This window comes from Homo sapiens, chromosome 16, assembly GCF_000001405.40.
Source record: "Homo sapiens chromosome 16, GRCh38.p14 Primary Assembly".
In the NCBI taxonomy this organism is placed as follows: Eukaryota; Metazoa; Chordata; class Mammalia; order Primates; family Hominidae; genus Homo; species Homo sapiens.
Window position 1 is genome coordinate 53,035,464 of NC_000016.10, and position 18,066 is coordinate 53,053,529.

At 46.9% G+C, this 18,066-nt stretch overlaps 1 protein-coding gene across 2 annotated transcripts, besides 1 other annotated feature; it reads right to left on the minus strand.

Moving 5' to 3' along the window:
* Positions 1-226: 226 nt before the first annotated feature.
* CHD9NB (CHD9 neighbor) lies at positions 227-17,434 on the minus strand. 2 transcript variants are annotated; one of them, NR_136518.1, is made up of 3 exons: positions 17,298-17,410; positions 11,742-11,820; positions 227-498 (listed from the first exon to the last, which is right to left on the minus strand). NR_136518.1 is itself a non-coding variant. In NM_001396020.1 (3 exons), exon 3 carries the CDS (start codon positions 8,693-8,695, stop codon positions 8,537-8,539), a length of 159 nt encoding a protein of 52 aa, NP_001382949.1. In that variant the 5' UTR covers positions 8,696-8,800; positions 11,742-11,820; positions 17,298-17,434; the 3' UTR covers positions 6,021-8,536. The 2 variants fall into 2 exon arrangements, 1 of the variants encoding a protein (NP_001382949.1); NM_001396020.1 differs by lacking the exon at positions 227-498 and adding an exon at positions 6,021-8,800 and having other exon boundaries at positions 17,298-17,434.
* Positions 8,739-9,604: an enhancer, noted in NCBI's record as "NANOG-H3K27ac-H3K4me1 hESC enhancer chr16:53078114-53078979 (GRCh37/hg19 assembly coordinates)". NCBI's record gives its function as "activates a minimal SCP1, AML or CMV promoter by ChIP-STARR-seq in naive H9 embryonic stem cells {active_cell/tissue: H9 hESC(naive)}" and the evidence as "EXISTENCE:reporter gene assay evidence [ECO:0000049][PMID:30033119]".
* Positions 17,435-18,066: the final 632 nt, after the last annotated feature.

The window sequence follows — 18,066 nt, forward strand, 5'->3', positions numbered from 1 at the left end:
GCTGAACTAGACTACACATGCCAGATGCGGAGACCAAAGGTCAGGGCCTTGAGGGCTTAGAGGAGTGCGACCAGAATTAGGTCAAAGGAGTCTTTGTTATAGCTGTTCTTTGGCTTGTAGCAGCATAACTCCCATCTCTGCCTCCATCTTCTCATGGTCTTCTTCCTCTATGTCTCTGTGTCCAAATCCTCCCATTTCTCTCATGAAGACACCAGTCAGCCAGGTGTGGTGGCTCACACCCATAATATCAGCATTTTAGGAGGCTGAGGCAGGAGGATCACTTGACCCCAGGAATTTGAGACCAGCCTGGGCAACATAGTGAGACCCCACCTCCCAAAAAAATAATTAAAAATTAGCCAGGCATGGTGGCACATGCCTGTAGTTTTAGCCACTTGGAAGGCTGAGGTGGGAGGATGACTTGTGCCTAGGAGTTTGGAGCTGCAGTGAGCTGTGATCACACCACTGCACTCCAGCCTGTGTGACAGAGTGAGACCCTTTCTAAAAAAAAAAAAAAAAGACACCAGTCATTGGATTTAGGGCTCACTCTAATCCAGCATGACCACATATTAACTTGGCTACATCTTCAAACCCTATTTCCAAATTAGGTCACATTCAAAGGTCCCAGGTGGACACGAAGTTTGGGAGGAGACTATTCAATGCGCTGCTGTGGTTAAAACCCTGGTCTTTAGAGCTCAAATTCCTATTCTGCCACTAACTAGCTATGTTAACTTGGGCAATTCATGCAACCTTCATAAATGTGCTGTCTCACCCGTAAGGTATGAATTTTACCTTCCTGGTAGACCTTTTGTGAGGAGCAAATTAGATAGCATTTATAAAGCATCTTTGAGCTCAATGCCTGGCACTTGGTGAATGTTCCGTGAGCAGAAGCCATTGGTCACCGTCTCCCATCAATCCAAGCCCCAGTCCATCGCTGGCTCCTTTGCAGCTTATCTACTCCACCTGCCCTTTACATGTTGGTTTTTCCAGAGTTTTGTCCTTGATAGATGCTTTTCTGCTCCAAGCAGTGCCTCCCCTCAGGGTATATGTGTGTGGGGAGAGAATGCAGGCACCTTATCTACTGTACCTGAGGAATGCCAGCCCCTCCAAATTATCAGACCCAGAGGGCACTGAAGTGTGGTGGCAGTCACCTCTCACTCCTGCCTTGAATCAAGTAACCACCTCTTGGAACCACTTGCTATGTGGGCTCTAGATTGATGCCAAGCAGCCATAAAATTAACCACACAGTGCCGTAGGCTAGACACCAAAACTCATACCCTGTAGTTCAACATTTAAAGCTAATCACTAATCAATGTTATTTCCTAAGCCAATGAGAATTCCTGTCAGACAACTTTGTATCCGCCCACCCCTTGTTCCCTTTTGCCTTTTGAAACCTGACTGTAACCTGGGCTGAATGGAACACTGCCCAAGCCAAGTTGAAAGTGTTTCCCGGGCAGCTGTCCTCACGTTGGCTTCATCAAATTTTTTTTTTTTGAGATGGAGTCTTGCTCTGTCACCAGGCTGGAATGCAGTGGCACGATCTCAGCTCACTGCAACCTCTGCCTCCTGTGTTCAAGGGATTCTTGTGCCTCAGCCTCCTGAGTAGCTGGGATTACAGGCACACGCCACCACACCCAGATAATTTTTGTATTTTTAATAGAGATGGGGTTTCACCATGTTGGCCAGGATGGTCTTGATCTCCTGACCTCATGATCCACCCACCTCGGCCTCCCAAAGTGCTGGGATTACAGGCGTGAGCCACTGCGCCTGGCCTCAAATGCTTTAAAATTATATTTTGTGCCTCAGCTTCTTCCCTTACAACAAGGGCTTTAGCTGCCGCTGTGTTCTGATGACTCTGTTGGGAGGAAAATTCTTCCTCTTCCATGTTGGGTTCAGCAGTTTGAGGCCCACAAATTTAACTGAGAAAGGACCAGTTAACAAGGATTTTTTTTCCTACTTGCATATCGGAGTTTCCATAATAGAAAACTCATGGGATAGCCCAAAGGAAAAGTTTGTATTATCAACTTAACAAAAGAGAGAGGTTTTTAGGGCTTCAATGAGGGAGTGTGGAAGGTCCTAGTGGGCTTTTTGTTGCTAATAAATGGGCAATCTGCCTTCTTGGCAGCTAAATCTGCAGTAAACTCCCCCAGAGTGGGGTTAATGGAGCTGTAATTTTGGGAGGCTCTGCTTTTGTCAGATAAGGGAAGTTCAGATAAGAGTTATTTCTACACCTTTTGCAGGTCAAATATTTTCACCTTAAAATAAACTTTACAGCAACCCTGGAGGTCCAAAAGGGTTCCCACAATTCCCAAATGAATTCCTCAAGTCTCAGCCTCTAAAGGCAAACTGCCTAGTGCAAGCCCCAGCTGTGTCCTTGAGAGCTGGAAGAACTAGTTAACCCCCTATATTAGTCAGGGTCCTCCAGAGAAACAGAACCAACAGAATATATCGAGATATATAAGGGGAGATTTATTATGGGAATTGGTTCACATTATTATGGAGGCCAAGAAGTCCCATGTTATGCCATTGGTATGCTGGAGACCCAGGAAAGCCAGTGGTGTAATTCAGTCTGAGGCGGAAGGCATGAGAACCAGAGAGGCCACTGGTCTAAGTCCTGGAGTCTGAAAATCCCAGAACCAGGAGCTCCAACGTCTGAGGACAAGAGAAGATGGATGTCCCAGCTCAAGAAAAGAGAGAGAATTCTCTACCTTGTTGCTGTATTCAGACCTTCAACAGATTAGATTAACGACAGTGGGTCTTCTTGACACAGTCTACTGATTAAAACGCTAATCTCTTCCAGAAACACGCTCCCAGGCACACCCAGAAATAATGTTTTACCAGCTATCTGGGCATCCCTTAGCCAAGTTAAACTGACACATAATTTTATTTATCTATTTATTTTTTTGAGACAGAGCCTCACTCTGTCACCTAGGCTGGAATGCAGTGATGTGACCTAGGCTCACTGCAACCTCTGCCTCCCAGTTTCAAGCAATTCTCCTGCCTCAGCCTCCCGAGTAGTAGCTGGAATTACAGGCACGTGCCACCACACCTGGACAATTTTTGTATTTTTAGTAGAGACGAGGTTTTGCCATGTTGGCCAGGCTGGTCTCGAACTCCAGACCTCAAGTGATCCGCCCACCTCGGCCTCCCAAAGTGCTGGGATTACAGGTGTGAGCCACTGCGCCCAGTCTTGACACATAAAATTAACCATCACACCCCCCCTGCACCCCCTGTACAACAACGGGGTTTTATTGTAGGGGAGAGAGATTGGGCTTAATTCAGAATACAACAAGGAAATGTGGGAATTTACAGCCAAGGAGCAAGTTGGGATCAGTGAATGGATTAAAACTCCCTGTGTTTTAATCTATAAAATGAGCACAGTGTGATGGTGAGGATTAAATGAGTTCTATATGTATTGCATTTGGAACAATGCTCAGACATGGTAAGAGTGATATAAGTGTTTGCAATCATTATTTACATTTTGTCCTATGGGCACCTCAAACTCAACACCCCTAAAACTCAACCCCTCATCTTCCCTTTAAACCTGCCCCTCCTTGTATGCTTTTTTTTTCCTAGGTTGCCTTCTAATTGGTATTCATGCTTCTAGCTTTATCCCTCCCAACTCCATCCTCTAAACAGTTACCAGGGTGCTCTACCTAATATACAAATCTAAGTGGATCTGATTTACTCAGATCTCTCTGAAAATGACAGAAACCAAATTCAAACCACTGTAAACAAACAAACAAAAAGAGTGAGTTTATTGGCTTGTGAATCTTCTAGGGGAAGAATTATTCTGGCATGGCTGGATCCAGTTGCCCAAACAAGTTGATCAGGACGATGTCTCTCCTTCTCTCCACTCTGCTCCACTCTGCTCTGTGGCTTCATTCTCAAGCAGTCCCTTCTCAGTGGTTAAGAGTTTCCAGGGCCAAATCCTACAATTTTATTAATTCTAAAAGAAGGTGAACTTTCCTTTCCTAATTGCTTCAATTAAAAGTTCAAAGAAGGCTGGGCGCAGTGGCTCACGCCTGTAATCCCAGCACTTTGGAAGGCCGAGGTGGCAGATCACCTGAAGTCAGGGATTCAAGAGCAGCCTGGGCAACAAGGCAAAACCCCGTCTCTACTAAAAATACAAAAATTAGCTGGGCGTGGTGGTGGGTGCCTGTAATTCCAGCTACTTGGGAGGCTGAGGCAGAAGAATCGCTTGAACCTGGGAGGCAGGGGTTGCAGTGAGCCAAGATTGTGCTACTGCACTCCAGCCTGGGTGACAGAGATTCCATCTCAAAAAAAAAAAAAAGTTCAAAGAAGACTCTCAGTGGACTAGTTTGGGTTTCTACACCCGCCCTTGAACCTATCACTTTGACAGGGGCTATGCAGTGCTCAGGCTGACGTTGAAGAATGGGATCAGCCCCACCCAATCATGTAAACTGAGAGTGAGGAAAGGGTTCCCCATGAGGAAAAAGATAAGATTTGTTACTAAAAAAACAGGATACTAACCAGTCAAAAGCCACTGACGTCCTAGCATCATTCTTCTGCCGAAAGACACCCCACTGCGCCCATCAAGATAAACTCTCAAGCTCTCAGTATAAAATACAAGGCACTTCATGATTTGATCCCTTTTTTTTTGGTACGGAGTCTCACTCTGTCGCCAGGATAGAGTGCATGGTCATGGTGCAATCTAGGCTCACTGCAACCTCCGCCTCCCAGATTCAAGCGATTCTCGTGCGTCAGCCTCCAAAGTAGCTGGGATTACAGGCACGCACCACCACACCCAGGTAATTTTTTTTTTTGTATTTTTAGTAGAGACGGGGTTTCACCATGTTGGCCAGGATGGTCTTGATCTCCTGACCTCATGATCCACCCACCGTGGCCTCCCAAAGTGCTGGGATTACAGGTGTAAGCCACTGTGCCCAGCCCCTGATTTGATTTTTTACTTGTCAAGGTTTACCTCCCTGTCCCTGTGCCGTGGGCACCTTAGGCTCCTATTACACTGTACATTGTGCCCCATGCAGTTCTTGTATCCAACTCCAGGTCATACATTCGCTTCCAAAATAACCATCCTCTTTGTCTAATTCCAACTTACTCTTGAAAGCTCTTGGGTCTCATCGAGACTGGAAAGATCTCCCTGGACCACCCTGTTCCAGGCGGTACTCCCACAAAGATGGCACTTTATGAACATTTTATGAACACTAAGGAGTTTGGCATAGAGTAGTTGCCCAGTAAACACTGAATTAATAAATGAATACAGGAATGAATGAATGATGAGTGATAGAGTAGAAACTCAACAAATATTTGTTGAATGAATCAATTGGTTAAAAGCAAAAAATGTATTGCCTCATGTAACTAAAAAATCCAGGGTAAGAGCTGAATGTATGAATAAATGGATAGATGAATGGATGGAAAGATGAATGGATGGATGGAAAGATGGAAGAACTGATGAACAGATAGGTGGATGGATGGAGGGATAATGGATGAAAGGATGGATGGACAGATGGAAAGAAAGATGGAAGGACTGATGAACAGATGGGTGGATGGATGGATGGATAATGGATGAAAGGATGGATGGACAGATGGAAAGAAAGATGGAAGGACTGAAGAACAGATGGGTGGGTGGATGGATGCATGGATGATGGATAATGGATGGAAAGATGGATGGATAGATGGCTGGATGAAAGGAAGGAAGGAGGCATGGATGGATGATGGATGGATAGATACGTTAACTAATAAACCTCTCCTCTTCCAGCAGTTTGGGAAGTTGGCCTTTGCAGGCCTGTTTTTCCAGAGGTTAAAGTTATATTTCAGTAGACATAATCCTAACCACTTTTACCAGGCACTTTAGAAATTCTCGAACCTCAAAGGGAGACAGACGAGTGATGCTAGGCTCCAGTGGATAACGGGAATGTCCTTAAAAGGAAACTGAGTACTTTTTTCTGTTAGAGATTAACTTCCTAGTAAATTGCAGCATGCCTGCCACAGCTGGAGGTAGATGAAGAATTCTGTTTTTAAAAGCCCTCAGAGAACTTGAATTTAATTAAATGAGCATTTTATTCCATTCCAAAAGGAAGCAAAACAAACCACCCTGGTTCTGAACTTCGAAGGACCTAAAGCTTCCTTCCTTTGATTTGGTAAAAAGCTGAGTGAGCTCTGCCCCTCAGGAGCTAGTGAAATAAGGGCAGCCCCACCTCAAAGCCTCACCACCAGCTGCGAACTCTTTCCATAGAGTCCTGAGTGTGGACATTGCAAGCAGCTCTCACCATGCACAGTCCTGTTTTGCAAGGTAAATTTCCACTAGTAGGGAGGAGGGAGAAAAACAGAGTTGTCTTAAAAAAAAAAAAAATTGAAAGGAGTTCCCAGAGCTTGGCCTATCCCCAGTAAGCTGTGCAAAGAGGCCCCAAACTTCCTGATCCCCAGCTGCAAGCCCAGGCCTGTTTCCTGGCCTGCAGCAAGCTTAGCACCCCTGGGACAGGGCAGGGCTTTGGGCCAGCTGACAGGGCCCCCATCCCTCCTGCTCCTCCAGGCTCTGCTGAAGCAAAGGGAAGCTCTGTAGTCAATTTCAGGCTGAACTGCTTTGCTTTTTGTGCCTCCTTCCTTATTTTTTCCTCACCGCAGTTGCCTTATTGCTCAAAAGAATCTCAATCAGTTTCTCAGGTTTTTATGGCCAAAAAGAAGGGTCCTTTGCAGCACCTTACTGCTTCGCCCTCCCTTTCTCCCTCCCTGCCTCATCCCTCATTCCTCCAACTTCCTCGATTTCTTCCTTTCCTTCTCGCCCACCCTCTCCCCATTTTTCTCTTCCTCCCTCCTCCCTACCCCTTTTCCCTCACCCCTCTCCTTTCTCTCCCTTCCTCCCTCCGTCTCCCCTCTCCTTCTCTCCCTCTCCCATTCTGCCTCTCCCCGCTCTTTCATCTCCCTACCTCTTCCCTTTCTCTCCCTCTCCTTCTTTCCCTCCTCCCTCTCTTCCTCTGTTTCCCCTCCTCCTTTTTCTTCTTGCCCTCTCTCCTCCCTCCTCTTCTCCCTCTCCCTACCTCTTTCCTCTTTCTCTCCCTTCCCCCCTCCTCTCCCTCCTCCCTTTCTTCATCTTTCCTCCCTTCCCTCCCTCCCTTCTCCCACTTCCCTCTCCGTCTCTTCCTCCCTCCCCGTCCCCCACCACCAGAGTAAAAATAAAAAGTCCCTCAATGCATCACCCAACCTGCAGTGGGGCAACTCCAAGCTGACCGGTTACATACTTCTCAATAGGCAGGTAGGTCTCAGTGAATAAAGAAAAATGGTCCTCACTATGCACAGGCTATAAAGGGACTAGTATTTCAGTTTAATCATGAGAAAGGCTCTCTGCTTTAAGAAGCACTCTACATGCGTTTCCCAAGCCAAACTGCTGGGGCTCAACTGTGGGTTCTGCTCCTTCCTGGCTGCCCAAACTCAGGCAAGTGACTTTATTTCCTCCATTTCCTCATCTATAAAATGGGAGTAGTTGGGTGGCATTAAACCGTCTATGGAAAGTCCTCAGCATGGCGCCTGGCACAAAGCAACGGCTCCCTCGCCTCTGTTCTCACTCCTGTTCCACAGAATTACACCCACTCTTCTCTGCTGATACTCTTAATCTCAGATCCCCAATTCTGTCTTTCAAATGTGTTGTGTCAACATTTATTTGCAAACATGTCTATTTGATTTCAAATGAAAACGCTTTTGAGTGGATTTAAAAACAAAACACATGCGGGGGAGAAAAGAGAGGCTGACAGACATGTTAGTAAACAGCGAAATATTTTTGAAAGCTGGATGCAGATAGCTCAGATGCTAGAGGGTTGAAATGGACAGACTTTGGCTAGGAAGAGATATGTGAATGTTAGCAGAGGGACCTTTCTTGGGGATTAAGGAATCAGGAACACAAATTTCTCTTCTTTCCTTCCCACCAGGGCTCCATGCCCCCCTTACTGGAGGACCAAGACCTTGTTGCCTTCAATTTACGGGATCCCAGTGGGATCCTGATATTTTCCATAGTTTCTTAACAACATTTCAAGTTAAATATTAAAATTATTCATAGGGTGTGGAGTGAGCCAAGTGCAACACATTGCTGTCAGGGGTGTTGGCTACTCCGCCAGCTGTTGAAAAAAGGAGAAAGAAAGAGAGCAAACTGAGATCCACACACCCCACACAGTATGACCAAGGCGCCTTCTGACTTCAGGAAAGCCAGGCAGACGGGGATCCCTGGATGCTCACAGCTTGGCAGCCGATATTCACTGGAGCCAGAACAGTCTGCTCTGAGGCTTGTCTGCATCCAGAAGTTGCAGGAAAGTTCCACAACGTGTGAAGACTTCTTTTGTCCTCTCTGTGGGAGAGCTGGGGAAATAGGATTCCTTATAGACTTATCCTCCCCACCTCTCCAATGAGCAAAGGCTGCTAAAAACTTCTGAAGCCTGAATCCCAAAGCTGGAGGCTTTCTCTCTCCTCCCAGTGATCGGAGCTTCTCAGGGTGGGGATTGTCTCATGGTTCTGGGGCCAAAGGCAGTTCCAGGAAGGAGGTGAGGGTCCGACTCTGGAGAGAGGCATTTCAGCTCTTTGGCTCAGGGGTTCCATCCTTCAGCGGGGCATCCTTGCAGTCTGCTGCCTGGGTGCCGGTCTCCAGACCTGGCTCTCTTCCCTCGCGCTCTTCTTCAAGCTTCTGGGACTCAGCTGCCACCGTGGTGCTCTTGCTGGAGTGGCACCCCATCTCAGAGGGACACAGAGGATCCAGTGCCCTTGGATGTTCCAGGAGGAGGAAGGTCTGTGCCTTCCTCCTTGGGGGCCAGCGTTAAATAACCATCCTCTTGCAGCACTGTTGAAAAGAGCCAGTTCCGTTTCTATGGCCACAAGGAGACGCCCCGCTGTGCATAAGGAGCCCCCTGTGGGGTGGGCAGGGCCTGGAGAGCTGCCCTTCCGGCTAACCTGGCCAATTCCAGGCACTGTGCCCCATTCATTCCACCAGAAGAATTCCCTTTTGTTTAATCTGTAACTTACAAATCATCCCACCACCACCTCCTAGTTACCTGTAAACACCAGCCCCTATCTTCACATGCAAAACAAGCCCTGTCACTATGCAACGGGCTGTAGCCTGCCTTGTATCTCAGGGCCACATTAAGTTCCTGGGACTCACCCCCTACTTAGAGACCACCCTTTAACCTAGAATGCCAACTCCACCCACTGTTGAGGAATAGGGAGTCTTAGGACCGTGGACTCCCAGGGTTACCCAAACAGGTAAGTCATTAAAATAACTAGCTAATAGATGCTGGGTACTACTACTCTGTGCCAAGAACAGTTCACATCCATTATTTGTTTACAACCCTAAGAAGTAGGTGTATTATTTAATCTTCATTTAACACATGGAGACACTGAGGCACAGGGAGGTTGAGTAATTTGTCTGAGGTAGTTTCTAACAGCCAGCAAATAGGAGAGCTGGGATTTGAACCCAAGTCACCTGCCTTCCAACCTCTTATATTTTACTTTCTTATTTTTTTTTACTTGTTTTTCAGACAAGGTCTCACTCTGTTGCCCAGGCTGGAGTGCAGTGGTGCAATTATGGCTCACTGCAGCCTCAACCTAGGCTCAAGTGATCCTCTCAGTTCAGCCTCCCAAGTAGCAGGGACTATAGGTGCATGCCACCATGCCCAGCTAAGTTTTGTTTGTTTTGTTTTTTTGTAGAGGTGCCGGGAGTTGGAGGGTGGTGGGGTTCTCACTTTGTTGCCCAGGCTGATCTCGAATTCCTGGGTTCAAGCGATCTGCCTGTTCAGCTTTCCAAAGTGTTGAGATTACAGGTATAAGCCATCCTGTCTCTTTATCAGTATGCTAATCTTATCTGTTTTGAAGACCCCATCAGGCTATCTTCACACACCATGACAGATGTTATCCACTTTGTAGGCTGTTATTGTGCTTTTAATCTGGGACACATGGGTAAAGGTTTTTGCAGCTGTGAGCAATCTCTGATGTGAATACTTCCTTAGTGAAGCCTCGTGTTCTATGGAACTGGAGTTTGGAACTCTTGTGCTCTATAGTTGACCCTATGTTATTTTCTGATCACCTAGCATTCCTTTTCCTAACTCTAGTAGGGGACTGATAATCCTGACCCAGCTCCTAGGAAGCTAGATGGAGGGTCACGCAGGACTGTGAAGTGGCTTTTCAGAGAAGTACATTTACAATGATTCTTTGTGTATGCACACAGCAGTCAAAGGTGACATTGACTCGGATTCACTTGTGGAGGGCAGGTGCATACCGGCCTCGGGCACTTTACACAGACCTTCTTGGTTACTCCTCCCAATCACACAGTCCTACAAGGAAGTATTATTAATCCCACTTTAGAGTTCAAATCACTGAGTCCAGAGTGGTTAGGTCGGTTACCTGGGGTCACAAACCTGGTAAGCAGCCAGCTCAGAATGCAAGCACAGGTCCCACTGGCTCCAGAGCCTGTGATCTTCCCACTCCAACCCCCTTTCTGCCCCTGCCTCTGGTTAGTGCCATTCCTCCTCCCTGGGTGTGGGAATTCAGTGATCTGCAAGAATGCCACAAAACTCCCCTATAAATCAGCTTTCTTTGAACAAGCTTCTTGCCAACAGGGCCTGGCAGAGTGACAATTCAGAATACATTATGATGCTATTTACCTCTCCCACATAAATGCCAAAGTATACTTTGGGGCTGTCAAGGTGGAAGAGGGAGGTTTCATTTACCTTCCAATTAAGATGCCCTGTTTGAGGCAAATCCTTATTTGGATATTGGGATCCAGGGCCAGCAATCCTCCTTTGAAGCCTCCAAATTAATCATGCTTAACTCAAGTCAGCCCAAGAGACAAGCAGCAGGAGCACCCAGGGGCAAGGTGAGAAACCCTAGGATTGTGCATGGACCAGTTTAGAGGCAAGGTCCATGGGATTAGGTGAGGGAGTCTTTACAAAATGAATGTGGTAAGAAAACTTGGCTTGCAGCTGGGCATGGTGGCTTATGCCTGTAACCTAGCACTTTAGGAGGCCGAGGCGGGTGGATCACTTGAACCCAGGAGCTCAAGACCGGCCTGGCAACATGGTAAAACTCCATCTCTACCAAAAAAAAAAAAAATACAAAAATTAGATGAGCGTGGTGGGGCATGCCTGTAGTCCCAGCTACTTGGGAGGCTGAGGAGGGAGGATGGCTTGGGCCCAGGAGATGTAGGTTGCAGTGAGCCAAGATTGTGCCAATGCCCTCCACCCTAGTAAACAGAGCTAGACCCTGCCTTAATTTAAAAATCTTCTTTAAAAAGAAGCCTTGTCTTGCCTGTGACCACCTCTCCCAGACACATCCTGGATGAGTTGTATAATCTGTGGGACCAAGAGCAAAATAAAAATGTGGACTCCTTGTTCGAAATGATTGAGAATTTCAAGACAGTGACAACAGAACTTTAGATGAAGCACAAGGCCCATGAATCCAGCCCTGTCCATACCCAACCTCTTCCTCAACTCCCAGAAATGGATTCACCTCGGATGAGGACTGTGATTTGCCAGATCTGCTAGCTGGCTCAGCTCAGGGTACACAGCCCTAGGAATAGAATATGACCAAAAGAAAGGCAAGAACAGAGAAATGAGGTATGGGCAACCCAAAGATGGATGGGACCTCAGTAGATCACATTTTAAATATTTTCAGATTTAAACTGCTTCCTTAGACATTACCACCCACAAAACATAGCAAACATGCACACGCACACACACACACACAAATCCACATTAAAAACACAAAAACTTCTTGGAAAACATACTGACCCTGTCATATGTTGGCGAGGTTGTGGAGCAACTGGAACTCTCATATATTGCTAGTGGGAACCATGATATGGTGCAGCCCCTAGAGAAAACAGTTTGGCAGTTTCTTAAGAATTATACATTTACCATAGGGCATTTACCTGTATTAGTGAGCCCTGGATGCCATAAGAAAATACAACAGACTGGGTGGCTTACACAAGACATCTATTTCCTCACAGCTCTGGAGGCTAGAAGTTCATGAGCAAGGTGCCTGCAAAGTTCAGGTTCTGGTGTGGGCTCCCTTCCTGGCTTGTAGATGGCCCCCTTCTCACTGTGTCCTCACATGGCCTTTTCTCAGTGCTTTTGGAAAGAGAAAGCTCTGATATCCCTTCCTCTTCTTATAAGGATACCAGTTCTATCAGATTTCAGCCCCATCCTTACGACGTCATTTAACCTTAATTGCCTCCATAAAGTCTCTATCTCCAAATATAGTCACATTGGAGTTCAGGGTTTCAACATATAAATTTGGAGGTAGGGCCGGGTGTGGTGGCTCACACTTGTAATCTCAGCAGTTTGGGAGGCCGAGGTGGGTGGATCACTTGAGGTCAGGAGTTCAAGACCAGTCTGGTCAACAGGGTGAAACCCCATCTCTACTAAAAATACACAAATTAGCCAGGTGTGGTGGTGTGCACCTGTAGTCCTGCCTACTCGGGAGGCAGAAGTGGGAGGATCACTTGAGCCTAGGGGAGTCCAGGCTGTAGTGAGCTATGATTGTGCCATGGCACTCCAGCCTGGGTGACAGAGACACTGTCAAAAAAAAAGAAGGGAAGGAAGGGAGGGAGGGAAGGGAAGGAAAGGGAAGGGAGGGAGGGAGGGAGGAAAGGAAGGAAGGAAGGAAGGAAAGAAAAAAAATCAAATTTACTGTTTATTAAGAAAATTTGGTCTGGGTGCAGTGGCTCATGCCTGTAATCCCAGCACTGTGGGAGGCTGAGGCAGGCAAGTCACTTGAACCCAGGGGTTCGAGACCAGCCTGGTCAAAATGGTGAAACCCCATCTCTACAAAAAACAGACAAAAATTAGCTGGGTGTGGTGGCATGTGCCTGCAGTCCCAGCTACTACAGTGGCTGCAGTGGGAGGTCACTGGAATCTGGGAGGTGGAAGAGTTAGAGATTGCAGTGTGCCAAGATTGTGCCACTGCACTCCAGCCTGGGCTAAAGAGTGAGACCCTGTCTCCAAAACAAAAAAGGAAAGAAAATAAAATAAAAATTTTTAAAGATCAAACAACAAAAATAAATAAAAACCACTTGCCAGGACCCTAGGGGGGCTTATTTGCCATCTAGTCCTAGTACTCGAGATCATTTAAAATTCTCTCTCTCCTGCTTCTCACTCACTTACTCATTCAAACAAACAAACAAAAAGCGCTTGCCACTCATTTAGCTCAACAGCTCTTTATTGAACCACAAGGTACAAAGTTCCATTTTGGGTGCTGTGCAGTTTACAGAACTTTAATCGCAATTAAGGAGGCCTGAGCCTACAGGCCAAGAGGGCTTGTGTGCACAGGGTCACCTAACAGCTATGACTATAGGTCAGGAGAGTGGCCAACCCAAGGCACCCTGCAGAAGGGAAGCTGGGGACATAAGCACCCAACCTCACTCTCCTCCCTGCCTCTGGTCTCTCCCAGGTATACAACTGGCCAAACCCAGCTTGAAACTAGTAGGTATATAAGCCTTTGGTGTTGCCCATTTAAGTCAGGCTCCAAACACACAGAGCAGGATGGAGAGTGGATACAGAAGACATGTAGCACCACCCACATGGATCGGACTCTTGGTTTTTTATTTATTTGTTTATATTATTTTTTAATAGAGATGGGGTCGCACTATGTTACCCAGGCTGCTCTCGAACTCCTGGGCTCAAGAGATCTTCCTGCCTCAGCCTCCCAAAGTGCTGGGATTACAGGCATGAGCCACTGGGCCCGGCCAGTTTGTTTTTTGAAATCAGGTCTCACTCTGTTGCCTGGATGGAGTGCAGTGGAGCGATCATGCATGGCTCACTGCAGCCTCAACCTTCTGGGCTCAAGCCATCCTCCTGCCTCAGCCTCCTCAGTGGCTAGAACTACAGGCGTGTGCCACCACCCCCAGCTGTTGTGTGTGTGTGTGTGTGTGTGTGTGTGTGTGTGTGTAAACAGGGGTCTCACTATGTTGCCTAGGCTGGTCTCGAACTCCTGGCATCAAGTGATCCTCCTGCCTCGGTCTCCCAAAGTGTTGGGATTACAGACATGAGCCACCGCACCTGGAGGATCTTACTCCTGATTCAGGGGCATAGAATCTGCTGGAGGAGGCCACATTCTTGCAGCAAATTATACTATTTAGCAGCATCAATAAGTCCTTTAATATGGAAGATGTCACACTGGAAATAGGGGACAGGGGAGGGCTTCCTAGAGCAGGCCACATTTGAGCTGGACCTAGAAGGATGCGCAGAATATCAGCTAGTAAAAGAGGGAAGGACACAGTTGCCAAAATGAGCAAATATAAAATCCCTTCCCAAGAGTACAATTTAATTCACCAGTCATTGATGGGAAGGCAGGTAGTGGTCATGGTTAAAAGCAGTTTCAGCATGAGAGGAGCCTGGGTTTGAATACCACCTCTAGAGTGTACATGCTGTATGCCCTTCAGCAAGTTGCTTAACATTTTTGACTCAGTTTCCTAATCTGTAAGATGTAATTAATAATAACTGCTTCCTGCGACCGGGCACGGTGGCTCACGTCTGTAATCCCAGCACTTTCGGAGGCCGAGGTGGGCGGATCACTTGACGTCAGGAGTTCGAGACCAGCCTGGACAACATGGTGAAACCCTGTCTCTACTAAAAATACAAAAATTAGCCAGTCGTGGTGGTAGGTGCCTGTAGTCCCAGCTACTTGGTAGGCTGAGGCAGGAGAATCGCTTGAACTGGGAGGCAGAGGTTGCAGTGAGCTGAGATTGCTCCACCCTACTCCAGCCTGGGTAGGAGTAGTATTATCTCAAAATAATAATAATAACTGCTTCCTGGGCTGTGCATGGTGGCTCACACCAGGAATCCCAGCACTTTGGGAAGCCAAGGTAGGTGGATGGCTTGAGCTCAGGAGTTTGAGACCAGCCTGAGCAACATGGTGAGATTCTGTCTCTACCAAAAATATAAAAAATTAGCCAGACATGATGGCACACACCTGTGGTCCCAGCTACTTGGGAGGCTGAGGTGGCAGAATCACTTGAGCCTGGGAGGTGGAGGTTGCAGTGAACCAAGATCACACCACTGCACTCCAACCTGAGTGACAGAATGAGACCCCGTCTCAAAAAAAATAAAATAAAATAATTGCTTCCTGGGATTTTTGGAAAGAGTCAATGAGACAGAATCAGTTCATCTGCTATTACACTTCATAACACCTGACAGGGTTTGCAGGTACAATCCAGGACCAGAATGTGACCAGTCTTATTCCTACCAATCATAGACACACTGTGACCTCAAGAGTTAAGTTGCCAGTCAGTCCACAAGCCAGCCTTACAAGACCAAGTGTCCTTCTGGGACGGGTACCCAGGCCCTTTCCCTTTGGTCTCTTTGGCATTTCTCCCTCTTTCCTTCTCTACGCCTTCTGCTGGGGACCTGACACCATCTTGCCCATGACTCCAGTGCCACCATTTCTAGCTCCATCCACTTTAGACCACAGAGGATCCTCACCCTCTTTTTTTTTTGAGACGGAGTCTCGCTCTGTCTCCCAGGCTGGAGTGCAGTCGTGCGATCTTGGCTTACTGCAAGCTCCGCCTCTCGGGTTCACGCCATTCTCCTGCCTCAGCCTCCTGAGTAGCTGGGACTACAGGCGCCCACCACCATGCCCAGCTAATTTTTTGTATTTTTAGTAGAGACAGGGTTTCACCGTGTTAGCCAGGATGGTCTTGATCTCCTGACCTCGTGATCCGCCTGCCTCGGCCTCCCAAAGTACTGGGATTATAGGTGTGAGCCACTGCCTCTGGCCTGATCCTCACCCTCTTTAATGGAGACTCACTCTAGAAGATAAATATTCCCTTTCTTACTAAAAATTAGGTCACATCTCATAACATAATTTTATGAATTTATTTTAAAAAACAAAAGTAAACAAAATTTTCCCTTTGAAGAAAAGGGTGAACAGAACAAGAAAGCAAAAGGGATAAAAATGAGTAAATGTCCAACAATGATAGTCTGGATTAAGAAAATGTGGCACATATACATCATGGAGTACTATGCAGCCATAAAAAATGATGAGTTCATGTCCTTTGTAGGGACATGGATGAAGCTGGAAACCATCATTCTCAGCAAATGATCGCAAGGACAAAAAACCAAACACCGCATGTTCTCACTCATAGGTGGGAATTGAACAATGAGAACACTTGGACACAGGAAGGGGAACATCGCACACCGGGGCCTGTTGTGGGGTAGGGGGAGGGGGGAGGGATAGCATTAGGAGATATATCTAATGTAAATGACAAGTTAATGGGTGCAGCACACCAACATGGCACATGTATACATATGTAACAAACCTGCACATTGTGCACCTGTACCCTACAACTTAAAAGTATAAATATATATATATATATATATATATATATATATATATATATATAATGAGTACCTTGCCTATCCTGTTCCATATATAAAGCACAGCGTCCAGCACATAGTAGGTGCTTAGTAAACAGTAGTGAGGTGTTCAGGGCATGTGCCTTGGAATAAGATAATCCAGATTCACGTTCTGGGTACATTACTTGCTAACTCCTCTACCTAGGGCAAGTTACTTAAACATCGCAAGTCTCAGTTTCTTCGCTGAGAAAGTGGGGAGAGTAACAGTGCCTACTTTGTAGGATTACTGTGAAGATTAAACTAAATTGTCAATCTAAAATCCTTAGTGCATGAGCCAGGTATGGCAGCTTGTGTCTATAATCCCAGCTACTTAGGAGGTTGGGGTGGGAGAAATGCTTGATGCTAGGAGTTCTAGACCAGCCTGAGCAACATAAAAAAAAAAAAAAACAATAAACCCCATCTCTTAAAAAAAAAAGAAATTAAAATTTAAAAATTAGCCAGGCATGGTGGCACATGCCTGCAGTCCCAGCTACTTGGGAGTCTGAGGTGGGAAGATCCCTTGAGCTCGAATTTGTGGCTGCAATGAACAATGATCACCTGGATGACAGAACAAGACCCCATCTCTTAAAGAAAACTGTTAGTGTCTAACACGTTATAAATATTTTATTATTGTTATTTACATACTTCAGCCTACCAAAACTCCTGTTTTCCATGGAGAAAACAGATCTGTTGATAACTCTGCAGTTTCCAGAAACACTGTGATTAGCAGAATGAGAAAAATGCCAGGAGAACTCAGAAGAGAAAGTCACTAGGAAGACTTAATCTCATCAGGTGATGCCAGAATCCAGAGGTTGTAATCTAGGACTTTGCCCAGGCATGCTTTGGGGCACAGTGGTGGGGAGGGAGCTGTTGCAAAGATGGGGCAAGAATGGTCTGGACATGACTCAGACACTTTAAAGTGAAAGAATGGGAAATTGTCTGGCAGCTGGTACTTACCATGGGCAGTCAGCACTCCTCTGACTGATTCACCTTCACCAGGGCACCAGCCTGCAGTGAAGTAGCTGGGGCTGGTTCCTTTTAGTGACACCCACCACCCCTTGCCCTTCCAGGTATTGTCCACAGATGACACCTCCTCCTCCTCCTCCTGCTCCTCCTCCTGCTCTGCCTCCTCCTCCTCCCCCTGCTCCTGCTTCTCCTCCTCTTCCTCCTGCTCCTTCTCCTCCTCCTCCTGCTCCTCCTCCTGCTCTTCCTCCTCCTCCTGCTCTTCCTCCTCCTCCTCCTGCTTCTCCTCCTCTTCTTCCTCCTGCTCTTTCTCCTCCTCTTCCTGCTCCTCCTCTCCTTCTGCTCCTCCTGCTTCTCCTCCTCCTGCTCCTCCTCCTCCACCTGCTCCTCCTCCTTCTCCTCCTCCTGCTCCTCCTCCTTCTGCTCCTTCTTCTCCTGCTCCTCTTCCTCCTGCTCCTGCTTCTCCTCCTTTCTCCTGCTCCTCCTCCTCCTGCTCCTCCTCCTGCTCCTCATCCTCCTTCTCCTCCTGCTCCTCCTTGTCCTCCTCTGCCCTTGATATTCACTTTGACCAGATTACACCAGTACAGAGAGTCCAAAGGTTAAATAGGCACACACTCACACACAAACTCACACTGGGCTAGAACAATGACAGAGCGTCCTGGGGGAGCAGAGTGGGGGCCGGGGGGAGGGGGAAAGGAGGATTGCAGGCCTAACTTTCACAAATCACCTGAAATTTCCACTGAAGGCATTATCTCCAAATGTT